Below are 15,780 nucleotides of genomic sequence, written 5' to 3'. Positions count from 1 at the left end.
AGTATAAGATGAAACTGGAATATCTTGCGATGCCAGAAATTGAGGAAGCATTCAAAGGAAAACGGGGACATCTCCAAAGGACATACAAGTTAGCCAGAAAGGGCTCCCGTGAGCTGTAACTGAACAAGTTGCGGATAAAAATAATAAAAGAAATGGATTATAATCCATTGAATATCACAGGAATCCATTGAATATCACAGGAATCCATGAGATCATACCGACATAAATAAATGAAGTTTGATAAGAAATGGGGTGAAAATTGCAGAATACCACAGTATTGCCCTACAAAATGTATATTAATTACAAAAGAAAAAAGTAACTACTGTGCAGAAGGCTGGCAGACACTCCCTCAATGGAGTGATCATAATCAATATTAAGTGATCAGAGTTGACACCTGTCACCATAATGGGACAAACTAATACCACGTGCTACCTGTTTGGATACAGTGAGAACACAGCATCAATTTGGTGGTATTCCTACCAAAGATGCACAACCTGAAAATCATCATATGAAAACATCAGAGACCCACATTAGGGAGCAGTCTACAAAATTGGGGGTGATGGGGCATCATGTTGGCAATTTACTCTCAAATGATTCAAAACAGAAAGACATTTGTACTGTACTTGGGAACTTTTCTTTAGGTTGGAGATTCTTTCCAATTTTAAAAAGTTAATGAGAAGAGTGACCTTGAGTCATTGTAGGTTTGATGGAAGCCAAGTGTCAAGATAAGATTAAGATATGGATGGACCAAGATAAGTGTCAACAATTATCCTTTAGGGTAACGATTCTTAAATTTTCTCTGGTGAAGCATCAGTTTTTCCCCACCAGTCCATTATGAAGCAATAGTTTTGTAAAATACAAAAATCCCACGCTTGGATTTCAGGACAATATCACATTGCAATAGGAGTTTTCAAATGCTTACTCTCGATGTCTGAACTTAGAATGAACCAGTAGCAAATGATTCCTGGACTAGCTTGGACCACGCTTTGAGCAGCGTTTTCCATAGCTGAAGATCTGTGGATCCCTGATTGCTATCACATTCACATGGAAAATAAAAACAACTGGTCACACTGTTATCCATATGGTAGCAATAATAATTAGCACTCTAATTAACATCAACCATCTATACAAAGTATTCAAAAAAGGGACCACCCAGGCAATATGAAGGGATTAAAGACCTGCCTTTGTGAAGAGTAATTCAACTTTTCCAAATGGGTCACATGACAAGAACAGATGCGTCCACTCCTGATTCCAAAGTAGTTGCTTTGTGGTGACTTAAGAAGAAAAACCCAGTTACACGGAAGATGAACAAAAGCATTTTGCATGGACCAGTCTGCAATGCCATGCCATGACTATCATTGCTGGGAAGGAAACCAGCATTCAGAAGGGGTTAGTTAGTAGAGGACAACTCCCAAATCAGATGGGTTTAACTAGATACTGAGGGTCAAGCTACTGATTCCAACATAGTCCACACATGGGTCCACTCTGGTTCTATGCCACAAACAGCCTCTCCTTCAGACAAGAGGCAGGCTTTCAAGTAAAAGAGAACAATTCTTTATAATAAACCAAGGCCAAAGCAGAACAACAAAGAAGGAGCTATTGCATCCTCTGGAAAGTGGCAAACTCCATGCAAGCTCAGGGTTCTTCTAGAGGACACTCTTGACACTTTTGTTGCATGTCCCTGTATGCTGGAATTCTCATGCCAGTGTCCCCCCAACACTTATTCCAGACACACACAGAGGAGGCTCCACATAGAAACCCATGAGCTGGAATCAACAACAACAGACTGCTGTGGCATCTGTCTCTCATGTGAGGCACCTCACTTACCTGGAGCAGTTTTGTAGCATGTTCTGGAGGGCAGTGATGGGGCATTCTTTGTCCTGGGGCTCTGCGTACTCTGCAAGACTTGTCTCTGCCTCTTCAGCTCCTCTTCCCTTTCCTGAGCTGCTCGGATCTCTTCCTCAATCATGGACAAAGTCCGCTGTTTCCTGGACCTCAGCTTGAAAGGCCCAACCATCACGTCAGATTCTTGAGTGGCCAGGAGGGAGGCTGTGCTTCTCAGCTCAGCTGCCTCCGAGTACTTGCTGAAATAGCTTCCTTCGGGCCTGGTCTCCTCCATGTTAATCGGGCCACTGGGCTGCACAGCTGGCAGTGGCTGGGGGGGCCCCCTTTCCCTGAGCGCCCTGTCTTCAGCAGGCAGAATCTTTGGTAATACATCCCTTTTCTCTTGAACAGGAGAAGACACCTGAGGTGGCTCAAACATGCTCTGAGGCTTTTCTGAGCCGAAAGCCGCAGCTTCAGCTTCCTCTACAGTCGCTTCAGGTCCCTGTTGCTCTGCTCCATCCCTGCTGGTTTTGGACACAGCTTTATCCACCTGCTCGGCTATGGCTTGTTGAATGGCATTCTGCACCAGGAGGCCAGCCTGATACTCCAAGGGGTCATCAACCAACGGAGAGTCCCCCAGCGTGGAGGAAGGGGAATAGAAACCATGATCACTAAATGACTTGGAGACGCCTTCTCCTCGGCCCTCTGAGGGGTTGTCAGTTTGTGGTGTCTGGGGCAGAGAAAAATCAGCCAGTGAATTTTCCTGGAGGGCATTGGTTGTCTCATTGGATGCCCCGCTGTCACTGATGTTGTCCATGCTGAAATCATTGGATAGGGTCTCCAGGACTGTGGTATCCTGAGACCTCACCGACAATTCGTCCAGACCAGAGTCAAGCTCCTCTTGGGTCAAGGAGACATTGACAGATCTTGAGAACTGATCCAAAATCCCATGGTCATCATCCTTGACCACAGTGAGGACAGCCCGGGCGCTCGTAAATTCTCCATCCTCAGCCCACAGTTTAGATAAGGGCCCACGTTTAGAAGGCTCGCTGTAGGGCCCTTCCTTCCCCTGAGAGGCTGTGTTGCCCTGGCTTCCTGCTGCCGATGGGGTCTCCAGGGCACCGGGGGATTTCTGTCCCTTGGCGGCTGAGGCACCACTGTCTTCTGGAGGTCCCCCGACAGAAGGTGGTCTCGGATTAGTCAGTGGCTTGTCTGAGTTGACTGACCCCAGAGGCCTGTAGAAAGGCTTGATGGAGAACAGCCTGGGTGTACTCTGGCCCTTGGCCACCGCTTGCCTGGAATTCTCCATCAGCTGAAATTGTTTGCGAGCAGCAGAGAAATCTATCTGCTCTGTGACAATGTCCTCCTTTGCTTTGTCAATCATGCTTGCGCGTTCATGAGAAGAGGCAGGGGCTGTGCAGAGCTGCGATGGGGGCTGCTGCTGCTGCTGCTGTAACTGCTTCTGCAGCAGCAACTGTTCCTGCTGTGCCCTTCTCTCTTTGCGCTCCTTGTACTTTTTGTGCGACTCCAGATGTTCCTCGTCCAGCTGCTCCTCGATGGTTTTTTCCTGCGGGGGATTCCACCATTTTGCTGCAATGCCAGGATTCTTCTTGACGGCCTGGCTGCGGATGAGCTCTCTCCTCTCCTTTTCCAGCTCCAGCATCTCCTCTGAAGGCCTCACTTTTCTAATGCAGTATTGTTCTTTCTCATGCTCGTCATCCTCAAAGAGCTTGGAGGGCTTCTTGTCCTCATGGAAGGCACGCAGCTCAAACTTGGCCTCCTTTTTCAGTGTGGTGAGAGTGAACTCTCCATCTCGGGAAGAACACCGTGAGCTGGTTGTGGAGCTGGGGCTGACAGGCACCTGCAGGCTGTCCCCCAGCGCATCTCTAGGCTGGCTGGGGGAATGGCCATTTGTTCTTTCTGCCTCTGCCATGGGGTCAGGGCTGCTATTACTGAGCTCGATGTGAGGAGGTGCCTGCCGGCTAGCTGTTCTTTCAGTGGGTTCTGGCTGGGTCGCCTCGTGGACAGGGGGGCTTAGGCCGCCCACCAGAACCACTGCACCAGGCTCTGGGGAGGATGTTCCATTGTACGTTCCATCCACAGCAGAATCACAGCAGTTGGCCTCTAGCACCTCATCTAGATAGCGGATCTCTCTGGCAACATCATTATCCAGGGATTCGTGGTGATCAGTAAGGAGGCCATTATGCGGGGGTGAATAGAAAGCGGAGGGATGGTCCATGGGATGTGGGGTAGAGGTGATTCCAGGAACACTTTTACATTCTGCAACAGACACCTCAATTTCCATGTTTTTGTGATCTGGGGAAAGAGAGCTGGCAGCAGGCTCCAGGAGGGTGGCACTATAGTTGTCTCCCTCGCTTTTTAGCCAGATATCATCCTCAGAAAGCTGGGGAGGCTTCTGGAATAAAGAGTAAACAAAAGTCAGGGTTAAATACTGCATCTCTTATGGATGTGAATGCTGACAAACTGACTCATAATTAAGAGGAAGGAAAATGGAAACCACAGTGACAAATTCTTTTGAATAGATATTTTCTAATAATCCCTTAAATGTTCATTTTCTTGTAGTAACAGGTGCCCAATCCTCTCTAATTTATGGATTCCATTTTGTTTACATGCTAGTGCCATTTTTAAATTTTATCTACTAAGGTGGAAGAGATTACATCATTATTGTACCAGAGTCTTCCCAAGTATTTTGCGGCAAATGATTGCAGGCTGTGCAATACGACTATTAATAGGATTGCAAAAAGAAGGTCCTTTTGTATGAACAGATCTTTAAAACATATGACTCTCTGCCAGATGTAATGCAGTTATTCTGGAGACAAGAAACTTTTTGGAAAATCTTTGCAGAATAAAATACTGGAAAACAGTAGATCCCTTTAATGGCAGCACACAGGCTACAGTGCCTCACTGCCATGGCTGTAATTGACCATGTGCCTTATGAACACCATCACCAAAGCCACTGACTGCACAGCTCTGTTTTCTGGGATTGCATCAAAATAATACTCTTTAGTTAAGAAGTCAGCACTGCTTTGAAAAACTAATGGCCAATGGTACCTCTCCTCCAGTTTTTTAACTGCTTTATATGTGATATCTTCAGTTTGTGATTCAATAAGAAAACCCTATCTTCTTAATGTTTTAAAACCCATCATATTTTTCTTTTTTTTTTTTTTTTAAGGAAGGAGGTTTTTTGTCTTGAGGGCTTTTTTTTTTTTTTTTTTTTTTTTTGAGATGGGATTTTGCTCTGTGGCCCAGGCTGGAGTGCAGTGTGCCATCTCGGCTCATTGCAACCTCTACCTCCTGGGACTACCGGTGTGTGCCATCACCCCTGGCTGATTTATATATATATATATATTTATATATTTTTTTTTTTTTGTAGAGACAGAGTTCCTCCATGTCTCCCAGGCTGGTCTTGAACTCCTGTACTCAAGTAATCTGCCCGCCTCAGCCTCCCGAAGTGCTGGGATTACAGACATGAGCCACCACACCCAACCCATCCATCTTATTTTTCTACCAGTTATCTAGCCTATGTAATTTTGTTATTTGGCATTAGAAACATTAATTTTCAAATTATAAGATGATTTTCTTTTTCATATCAAAGGACTCTGGCTTATCTCAAAGAATTCCAGTAAAGTATAAACTTAATTTGAGTTACCATCAAGGACCTTACAACACCTAGGTTGGCTTTGTTTCCCTGTCTCAAGTTTATAATGTGCCTGGTATTATTGACATAGGACAATGCAAAATTGCAAGAGAGTGTAATTTTCATTTATCTAAGGTTTCAACAATTTTAAATGCTTAGAATATTAAAACACCACCTTAGGACGATTCTCAGGAAATTAATTTCAAAATCCTTCCCAAAAAAGTGGATAATTATGGATTTGTTCTTGAGACCTAAGAAAACACTGGAGTTCATCGTAAGTGCTCTACACTGCTGTCAGAATGTTGAAAAACTCTCTGAGTTATCCATGAACTGGGGGGTTTCCTTCACTCTTCACTTTCCACATTTCCTTTCAGACTTAAATTATTCAAGTAATGTATATGTCTTCTCCATTAACAGGCACAAATAATGAGTGTTCCTCTTTTGTCAACATCTTCCATTCTCTGATTTTCTTCCAGTCTAGGTCTGGTCTTTGTTAAGGAGTGATACTTAACACAATTAATATTTATAATTGCTAATATCTTTATTTTTTATTTTTGACCATCATTAAATAGTAGTTTTTGCCACCACCTTCCTTTTTTTTTTTAAGAGACAGGCTCTTGCTCTGTTGCCCAGGCTGGAGCACAGTGATGTGATCATAGCTCACTGCAACCTTGAACTCCTGAGCTCATGGGATCCTCCTGCCTCAGTCTCCCTTAGGACTACAGGTGGGCATTACCATGCCTGGCTAATTTTTAAAATTTTTTGTAGAGATAGAGTCTCGCTATGTTGCCCAGGCTGGTCTCAAACTCCTGGACTCAAGCAGTCCAGCCTTGGCCTCCCAGAGTGCTGGGATTACAGGCATGAGCCACCCTGCATGGCCAGCCCTTTTAAAACTATTAACTAAACTTTTTGTTGGATGAGACATTGTCAGTAACTTCTACTCATATATCATTAAGCATTACACAAAATTTGAATGCTGAAACTTACTGGCTGCCATTCAATTTCAAGTAAACCTAGGCCAAAATTAGCCCACTCCATGGAAAATTATTATTGAAATAAGAAGACAAACAAAGAGAGATTCACGGTACTGCTAAGATGAGTCAGATTACCTATGGCACCCTCACCCCTGGCTTCTTTTGGCCAATGACTCACTGCTAATATTCTGCATGGGAACAACAGAGCTCTCCTTCTATCCTTTTTGGCTTGGGGGCCGGGGTGGGCGGAGGGTAGTGGGAAATCAGTAGGAAGCTGGTAGGACTGAAATATGGTTAGAAAACACTGCTCTCCTGAAACACAAGATGCTTTAGAATACCTGAGGAGAGGAAGAAGGGCAACGTAATAGTAAAGGAAACTAAAAGGCAAATAATTAGTTCTATAGTTTAATTAATTAATCCGTTCATTAAACATGAGGGGAGGTTATTCTGCAGGGTCATAATGAAATTAGCAGCAACAATAAGCTCCAGAAGACAACACCCTTTAAAAAAAAAATGAGTTCTCTGTACTTCCAAGAAAGCCCTAAGTCTATATTAGAGTTTTCTTAGTCTGAATCAGGCAAGTGAAGAAATTGCTTCTCTTTGTCTCTTGTTGCTAATCACAGAGGAAGGAGTGATGGGGCTTATCTCCAAAGCCATTTCCCAAGAACACTTTTCCGCTCCTCACATCAGCATTATCCCTTTCTGTTGAATGTTTCACACTTCAAGTGCTCGATGATGAATGAGCAGATGACTTTCCACGTTTTCTTTTTAGGATTCAAAAATTGTATCAGCTCTTTCCAAGGCACCCTTTTTGAACTAGAAATAGTTGTTTTGGTACCAAATATTTAAAATCTAAGACAACAATTTGACAATATACTTTTGCAATTGTTTGAAAAAAAATACAAAACTGCCATTATCTTTGAATCAGAAATTATTTTACAAGTAGTTATGTCTTCTGTGATCGGTCAAACTGAGATTTTAAAATATGCTAGTTAGTTGGCAGGGTGCAATAATAGCTCATGCCTGTAATCCCAGCACTTTGAGAGGCCAAGGTGGGTGGATCACTTGAGGTCAGGAGTTTGAGAACAGCCTGATCAACATGGTGAAACCTCCTCTCCACTAAACATACAAAAGTTAGCCAGGCATGGTGGTTGGTGTACACCTGTAATCCCAGCTACTTGGCATGAGAATCGCTTCAACCTGGAGAGCGGAGGTTGCTGTGAGCCAAGATAGTGCCACTGCATTCCAGTCTGGGTGAGGAAGTGAGACTGTCTCAAAAAAGGCTGGGTGTGGTGGCTCACGCCTGTAATCCCAACATTTTGGGAGGCCAATGTGGGTGGATCACTTGAGGTCAGGAGTTTGAGACCAGCCTGACCAACATGGTGAAACCCTGTCTCCACTAAAAATACAAAAGTTGGCCAGGCATGGTGGTGTACACCTGTAATCCTAGCTATTTGGCAAGAGAATCTCTTGAACCCGGAGAGCAGAAGTTGGAGCATTCCAGCCTGGGTGAGGAAGTGAGGCTTGGTATCAAAAAGAAAAAAAAAAAAGAAGCCCGCACGGTGGCTCACCCCTGTAATCCCAGCACTTTGGGAGGCTAAGGCAGGCAGATCACCTGAGGTGAGGTCAGGAGTTCGACACCAGCCTGGCCAACATGGTGAAACCCCATCTCTACTGAAAATACAAAAAATTAGCCAGGCGTGGTGGCAGGTGCCTCTGTAATCCCAGCTGCTTGAGAGGCCGAGGCAGGAGAATTGCTTGAACCTGGGAGGAGGAAGTTGCAGTGAGCCGAGATCATGCCACGGCACTCCAGCCTGGTCAATAAGAGTGAAACTCCATCACACACACACACACACACACACACACACACACACACACGCTAGTTACTTGTTAAAAGTCAAAGTTTGGGGGTTCCAGTGTAATTTGGGATGATTCCTTTCCGATACATTTTTTTAAACCTCTAGACACTGGAGGGTGTAAACAGGAAAGAGGCCCTCCTTCTTGTGAGCTATATGGCATCCAGTCCCCCTTTCCCCATAAATTCAGAAAATTCTTCATGACACTCAATTCCATCTACTCAGGAAGCAGCAGGTTTAACCTCTAATTGGCATGGAAGTATTTAAAGAGATAAACAACTCTGAATTACTGATTCACAATCATGCACCAGAGGTCCTGAGGTTTTGTAAAGTTAGACAACAATGATAACAAAAGAGCGAATTCCTGAGTTCCACTGTCAGCAGTAAGAATTTGCCTTCATGCATGATGGCCTGATAGAATCAAAGCCACTGGCAACTACACCAGGTAAATGGAAATGGGCTGGAAATCTAACCTATCCGGATTAGGCAGGAATCTGGGCTTGGTATCATCAGATGATGTCTTGTTTAAACCAACAAATGCTTATTGCTCTCTTTGAAGATAAGAAGGTCCAGAATTTTCTCCATGCTTCAAATTAGGCGAACGTGATTCCAGATTCAGATAAGATGCACATTCATTCAATCACCAGGAAAGTCCTTTTTGAAATGAACTATGCCCCAATGCAAAAACAGGAGGATATGAAAGAATCATCAAACTGGGTTTTCTAAGGTCAGAGAAAAACTAAGGTGCAAAGGGGCTGTGGGAGCTTTTTAGATCGGCCCAGTTCACCCTCCAGGTAGAGCCCTAATACCACGACACAGAAACCTGCCCTTCCCACTAAATTCTAGAATAGTTAACAGCTGGTTAGGATGCCTACCATTTACTTTCACATACTTGATCGGGGCAATTTAATACAGCTGTGTGCTTCTGGAATTAGTTTAAATTACATTCCAGGGTCTGACAACCATCCTAAATGGGAATATAAACTCAAGGGATGGTCATCTAGGATCCAATGAGAGATCCCACGCCCCACAGGTGGCTTCCTCCAGTACTTAGCTCCCTTTAACTCCCAAGAACCCCTGAAGCTTTGCTAATTGGCATAATTAAGGTGAGAAATAGGTTTTCATTAGTGAAATTAGTGGCCTGTCAATTAGCATAATGAATGTTAGAAATCCGTGAAATTGGTGGTGTTCAAATTTGTGGATTAGAGATCTTCCTCACCCTTTCATAAAGGGGATATGCCAATAGAGCGAACCCTTTGGTTTATACACCCTTAGGGATGGTGTTTGAGGTTTGAAAACTAAACGATCTTGTTTCTAGCCTTTGGCTCAGGGGACTTCGGTTGCTTACCACCCACTAAAATGGTAACAGAATCCTGTCTTCATAAAGTTGCCACATCTGTCTTCAGGCAAGGTGGGGTTGGAGCATCTAGAAATTTAGGGAGCTGAGATTTCCTCATAGCATTTTTTATAAATGTTTATTCAACTCAAGTCTGTATGAGTGCCAGAATTTGGTCCCAGAGACCTGTGTTTAACATAACCTGGTAGCCAGGCTGCAACTAAAGTCGCCTTTATTTACCAAAAAGTGTTTAATAGTTTTGCAAAGCAAATTAGCGTGGCTTAATTTACAACACAGGTGCCTATGTCTCCACCTAAAGAATGCAGGAAATGTGGTAATTCAGAGTTTAGCGTCCAAAGACCAGAGTCTGGGGTCATTTCTTGGCTCTACCTATAAAAGTCCTACCAGACTTTTTGTAATTATGGAATTCTGCTGAGAACAGAACTCCTTCATAAGCAGGACTAATAATATCTCCCAAATCTGTTTTGAGAATTAAGTTAGAAAATGTACTTAAAAGTACTATGTAAACTGTAAAACGGTTAATGCAAATGTTCACTATTATTAAGCCATTTTACACTGAGGTTTAAATGACAGGTATTATATTCTTTCTGGCAGCAGACTGATTTTCTTTTGGGAAAAGAGCAGGAGATTTTTAGAAGAAAAGAAATCAAGAAGAAAAGATGAAAGAAAAAAGGCCCGGGAAAGACTCAAAGTCAGAATCTATGGCAGCTCTAATCTCCCTAATCTTTCCCCAACCCCAGATCCTTACATGTGAATTTTAGTTGAAGCTGAACACGACTAGGAAGATACAGTTGTGCTGCAACAGAGGGAGTAATTTCACAAAATGTCCTTAAAAGTTAAGTCCTGAAATGCAGTAAGTAGAATGAGCAGTCAAGAACCACCCAGACCTGGGGCTCCAGTCACATGGGAAGCAGAGGAGGGGTCACACATTGGTTAAAACAGAACCTGGTCCATCTCCACAACTCAACTAGCCAAGTAAATGTACAAGTGAATGAGACAGCCCTGACAAGCCTGTCCTGTGGGCATGCTGTAAGTGTGGCATCCCCATTTTCTGGTTGACACATGTCTAATAGCTTATCATTTCACAGTACATGCACATACATATGTCAGCTGATGCTTGAAAAATGGCCCTCTGTTAAGTGGGAAAGGCATGAATTTTATTTCAGTCTTAAAACTTCAGAATAAGAGGTATAGAGAAATAGAGGGACGTTTCCCAAGATCACCTGCCTAGTAAGTGCCCTAGCCAGGATTTGAAGGTGGGTTCTTCTCATTCTATCCTGATACATCAAAATGGAGTCTCAATATTAGGAGGCTTTTAAAATGACATGGGAAATGGTAAGAAGAGTGGATGGATCAAAACAGAGTTAGCTTGGCTTTTTGGTTGATCTTTTGCTTGCTTGAATCTCTACAGATGATGTGAGACTCACAATTTAGCTTTAAAAGTCGATGATCCCTTTACCTTCTTTATTCAGTCTTGGTCAGAAATAGATGAACTCCCTGGAGAGTTAACTCTCTGGAGACGTATCTGTTGCTCTACGTGTCAGCTAGAAATGTGACTTCTTGCACGGTCTGGGGATTTCACCCTCTGGGCTGGTCTCTGAAGGGGTTCTGTTTCCTCTGGCCACTTGCCAGAGGTAAAATATTAAGATCCCATGTCCATGTCATTATGATGGACACTGTGGGAAAAGGCTGCAACTCTTCACCAACACCACAAGTGAGATTCTAGAAGCCTGTTTACATTTGCACAGAAAACACAACAGCAGGGCCCTGATCCCTGCCCCACTGGGCATAGACACCCATGTGTTCTTTCTGCCCAGGGTACCTAGGCCTACAGCTAGGCATGTCATGGACAGAAATAACTTTAAGGAAGTGCATTTTCCTTAGCAGGTCTGCCTGAGCCCAGGCGGAGAGCAGAAAGGTGTCCTTCACCACAAGGACAATGTTCACTGTGTTCACAGCCTCCCCTCTGCCCCACCATCCTCAGGCTGTTAAAGCTCGACAGTGTGCCTAACCCATCTCGACCTCCTAGGCTCCTAGCCTAAATGCACAGTGTGAACCAAATTACTCAAACATCAGGCTGTACAACCAGGTTTCTCTGCTTTGAATAACCCAGATTACTTCCTACTAAAGCCATGACATTTAAATTAGAAATGCTTTTCTCCAGATAATAGGTGACCCGATCCTTTAATCCAGTTATTTATAAGTTCCACCAAAAATATAAACTCACTCTTGGCCTAGGAACAGAGGCATGGCTATAAAACAAAACTTCCTCATAGCTGTGAAATCAGAGAGTATCTCCGTTTTCCCTTCTCATCCTGCCTCTCTTTTGTAAGTCACGTTTTCAGTGCGCAGGACGCAATGACAATCATGATGAAGAACTGGTTCCACGAGCTATGTGTGGCTATCTTTAGAGAGGTTCTTCCTAAATTTTTAACTTTCTGGCTAAGTCAGGATGTCTCCAGCATGAAGGCAAATGCAGAAGGGGTGAGGGTGGGATGGAAGGAAGTGCACCTGGCTGGTGGATGATGCCCAGAAACCTAAAAGATGCCCACATCAGCTGAACCTCATCAGCTTTGGACAAACCAGGCAAAGCTGCAGTCAGGAGGTCTGGGGGAGGCTAACTCCCCAAACCGAGGGAACCCGAAGCATAAGGAAGGGAACAGAAGTTGAACAGGTCAACACTACCTTGGATCCATAAGCATATCCTGGGACCCTGCAGAGCTATATGCTCTCAGCCTGGGCCGTGCGAGGTCCTCAGAGCTCCAAGGTGATCCGCCATCCCCAGCAAGACGCTCACAGACTTGGAGGGAGTGAGTACCAGTTCCCATAAGAAGAACGAACAGCACTAGGAGAAGGAAGTGCTGCAGCAATAGCTGGAAATAAACTTCCAGCCCTCTTCAACGGCGCAAACTGTGCCGGGCAAAAAGAATTGAAGAAAGCGCGGTGCACCAAAGTTTCTAAGCAGGCTGGCTGCACCTCCTCTGGCCCTCCCTGCTAACGACGACAGGAAGGAGAAGGAGCTGGGACTCCGAGTGGGCCGTTCCACCCTCCCCTGAAGGCACTGACAGCAGGAAAGTCTGGGAACTGCTTGCTGCGAGGGTTAGACTTGGGCCTCTAAGCCGAGCCTATAAGCGGGAAGTGGAGGAGAGGAGAGGCCCCGGGTGATAACCTGGGCCACATTCCAGTCCTGTGCAGGCTTTCCTCTTCCATCCCCCGAGCAGAGCTTCTTCCGGCCTGTGGAACTAGGGGCCCGTGTTGATTGTGGGAAACTGGGAACTAAGCCACTCCCTAAAGAGGCTAGAGCCTCCCCTCCTGGCTGATGGAAGACAGCCGGCCAGACTCCAGACCTCAAGCACTCCTGGGGCAAACGCAGGCTAAATTTGGACCCGGCAGGCTCGGGTCAATGCTGTGGGCCTTAAAAGGGGCAGATACTAAAAACACTTCTTGGTTTGCCTCCATGGATCTCCTGCCATGAAGCCATTACAGCTCAATGTGACTAGGGCAGTTCTAAAAAGAAAACTCAACCCTTTGGAGGCCAGGAGTCCTGTTCCTGCTCCTGCAGGTCCAGCCTTTTTTTCTGAGAGCTTCTACGGTATTGGTCAAAAGAGTAATCACTGTTCTGCTATTCTCTCTGTCTTATGCCTCAGGTACAGGTCTGAAGACGGGATGAAAATACTTCTGGAACTCCCCACCCCTTCACTGGAAACAAGGCTTCCCTGTGTCTTGACCCACATTCCTAGTGAAGGAGACTGGTCAATTTCTCATAGAACGGAGTCTCCCCCAGCACCATAGCTTAGCCTATGAACAATCCTCCTCTTAGCCCTGCTGAAAAGTCAGTGGCTCCAATCACATCTGGAAAATGTTAAGGTGTTATTTGATGAATATATTTACAGCTTGGGCTTTCTGTGAAAGAAACTGAAGACAGTGTGTGTGGTGGGGGTCAGCAGCGGGGAGGGGAGGAAAGGAAGGAAGCTGCTGTTGCCTTTTCTGCAGCAGCTGATGAAAGGGTTGTTTCTTTCCGTTACTTGGAGACCCACTTCTTACAGGAGTGACTGAGAGGCTTCCGGGTTTCCCGTGAATAAGGAGAGATGTGAGTTTCATGTTTTCCTCAATGAGGGATACTGAGCGCCCTATCAAGGAGCCCTCGGAGGCTCTTCTCACCAAAGGCCCTTTTCACTGGAGATTATTTTGCAAGGTAGTCCCTACCCCAGAATAAACCAAGCTCAAGGCCACAGAGGGAACTCTGGCTCCTGCAAGGTGAGATTTCTAGGGTAACCGATTCTGCTAAAGACAAAAGCAAGCCTAGTTTTTCAGTTCTTTATAAATTTGCTGTGTCCCTCTTGGTTTAAAAATAGTTCCAGATCTTGGGTTCACGCCTGGTGAGCAGGTCATGGCAGAGATCAAAAGCCAAACACCACTGTGGACCAGCAGAATCCACTATATTGAGGCAGAGCCCCAAGAAAAGAGAAAACAGTGCCAGATGCATTTGTGGTTAACCCTCTGTCTACAGATGATTCTGTGCCTATGAACAAAGCTGGCGAGGGTCTCCTTCCATACCCATGGGACCTCCAAGAGACAAGCACCACACATTCCCCCCAAAACCATATTCCCCCAGGCCACCCTGTGAATGTGGTGAGTTCCACAGCATGGAAACAGAAGGCTAGCTGTAGACCACAAGACTGAGTCTCTTGAACAAATGCTAGATGGCTAAGAAACGAGGCGACAGAATCACCGAGTCACTTGGTTTTGTTCTGGAAAAGGGCACACAGATTCTCACAGACACACTTGCACCATCTTCAAAGCGTGATCTGCCACAGACGACTCATATAGCTTTGCACTATATGTGCAGGACTGAGCGTCCTCTTTGCCTCTTAGCACAAAAGCTGAGAGTTTTACAAGATTTGCAAAAAAAAAAAAAAGAGAGAGAGAAGCAAGACACCAGTCTGAGCTCGGCTGCCTACTCTCCAGCAAGAAAGGACTCCACAGCACATGACACACTCAGAAAACCTCCTCCATAAAGACACTGGCCTCAAAAAAAGACCCCTGTCCTTTCAAATTAGAAAGAAAAGGACACGAAGATAAGTCAGCAGACTTGGCTTACCCTGCCCAGAGCGCGCGCCTCAAACCTCCTCAGTGAGAACTGCCTTTTTCCAGACAGATTCCTGCGTGCACCCTGGCTCAAGCTGGACAAATTCCTCCTGAGCCTCCTGACGGAAGACTGTGATGTCACCGTGGGCCCTCCCTCTGCTCCCTAAAAGGCCATTCACACAAAGAAGGACTTTAACCTCCTTCGGAGAGGCCTGGCCCCTCCCTGGCTGGCCGGAGCTGGAGGGCAGCGGCATTCCCAGCCAGAGCAGGCCCGGCCTGCTCCTGTCACGCTCAAGGCTGAGCAGGGAGGCAGGAGCTGGCGGCGTTGAGGTGAATCAGTTAGCATTGATGTGAATCAGCTACCACTGTCTTCTCGGCAATTCAGAGGTGGGCCCTGGGACAAGCAGGGAATTGATATCCCAGGGGTATTGAGGCAGCAAAAAATCTGAAAGACCCTGGAGAAATCTCCAGTTAGACAGACTTTTCAGGACAGCCTGTGGTGTGTGCTTGTGCGTGTGTACATGCATGTGGTATGTGCATGTGTGCGTGTGTCTGTGTGTGATAACAAATGCTCACCACAGAACATTTAGAAAATAAAAAATATTCATTACCCCTCCAATCAGAAAAAAAGTTAATATTTTATTTCATTCCATTGTCATCTTCTCAGAAATACATATTTAATATCATTGAGACCAGACAGTAAATGCAATTCTGTGCCAACTTTTTTTTTACTCATATCATTTCACAAGCACTTTTTATGTTATTTAATGGCCCTTGTAAGATATGTTTTAAGTGGCTACATTATAGTCCATGCCAAAGTGGACAGATGCATCTGAAGTCTGAGATGAGTGCTCTAATTTCAAGGAATATCTGGAGGAAGTGGCTGCACCATCCCATGGCTAACAACAGTCCTCTGCCATCAAGAAAACAGATGTGCATTTGCCTTGAGTAGAGACATCAGTGTCACCTCAGAATAGGGCCCCCAGCACTACACTAAGTCTAACAGGGAGTTGGCGTGTTTAT

General features: G+C 45.1%; 1 protein-coding gene across 17 annotated transcripts in view, besides 2 other annotated features; it reads right to left on the bottom strand.

The window, feature by feature from the left end:
* Positions 1 to 15,780, bottom strand: part of PALM2AKAP2 (PALM2 and AKAP2 fusion) — a 531,726-nt gene that overhangs the window by 32,146 nt on the left and 483,800 nt on the right. For 15 of the 17 annotated variants that reach the window (XM_047423410.1, XM_047423411.1, XM_047423414.1 and 12 more), the window contains one exon: positions 1,828 to 4,240. In XM_047423410.1, coding sequence (XP_047279366.1) covers positions 1,828 to 4,240 — 2,413 coding nt within the window. Of the gene's footprint in view, positions 1 to 1,827; positions 4,241 to 14,770; positions 14,867 to 15,780 lie in introns of those variants that run through there. The other 2 variants (XM_047423420.1, NM_001136562.3) reach the window with 1 other exon arrangement.
* Positions 8,097 to 8,940: an enhancer, noted in NCBI's record as "NANOG-H3K27ac-H3K4me1 hESC enhancer chr9:112893707-112894550 (GRCh37/hg19 assembly coordinates)". NCBI's record gives its function as "activates a minimal SCP1, AML or CMV promoter by ChIP-STARR-seq in primed H9 embryonic stem cells {active_cell/tissue: H9 hESC(primed)}" and the evidence as "EXISTENCE:reporter gene assay evidence [ECO:0000049][PMID:30033119]".
* Positions 14,861 to 15,423: an enhancer, noted in NCBI's record as "H3K27ac-H3K4me1 hESC enhancer chr9:112887224-112887786 (GRCh37/hg19 assembly coordinates)". NCBI's record gives its function as "activates a minimal SCP1, AML or CMV promoter by ChIP-STARR-seq in naive H9 embryonic stem cells {active_cell/tissue: H9 hESC(naive)}" and the evidence as "EXISTENCE:reporter gene assay evidence [ECO:0000049][PMID:30033119]".

The sequence above is a fragment of the Homo sapiens genome, chromosome 9 (assembly GCF_000001405.40).
Source record: "Homo sapiens chromosome 9, GRCh38.p14 Primary Assembly".
Classification (NCBI taxonomy): domain Eukaryota; kingdom Metazoa; phylum Chordata; class Mammalia; order Primates; family Hominidae; genus Homo; species Homo sapiens.
This window is presented reverse-complemented; position numbering and strand designations above follow the sequence as displayed.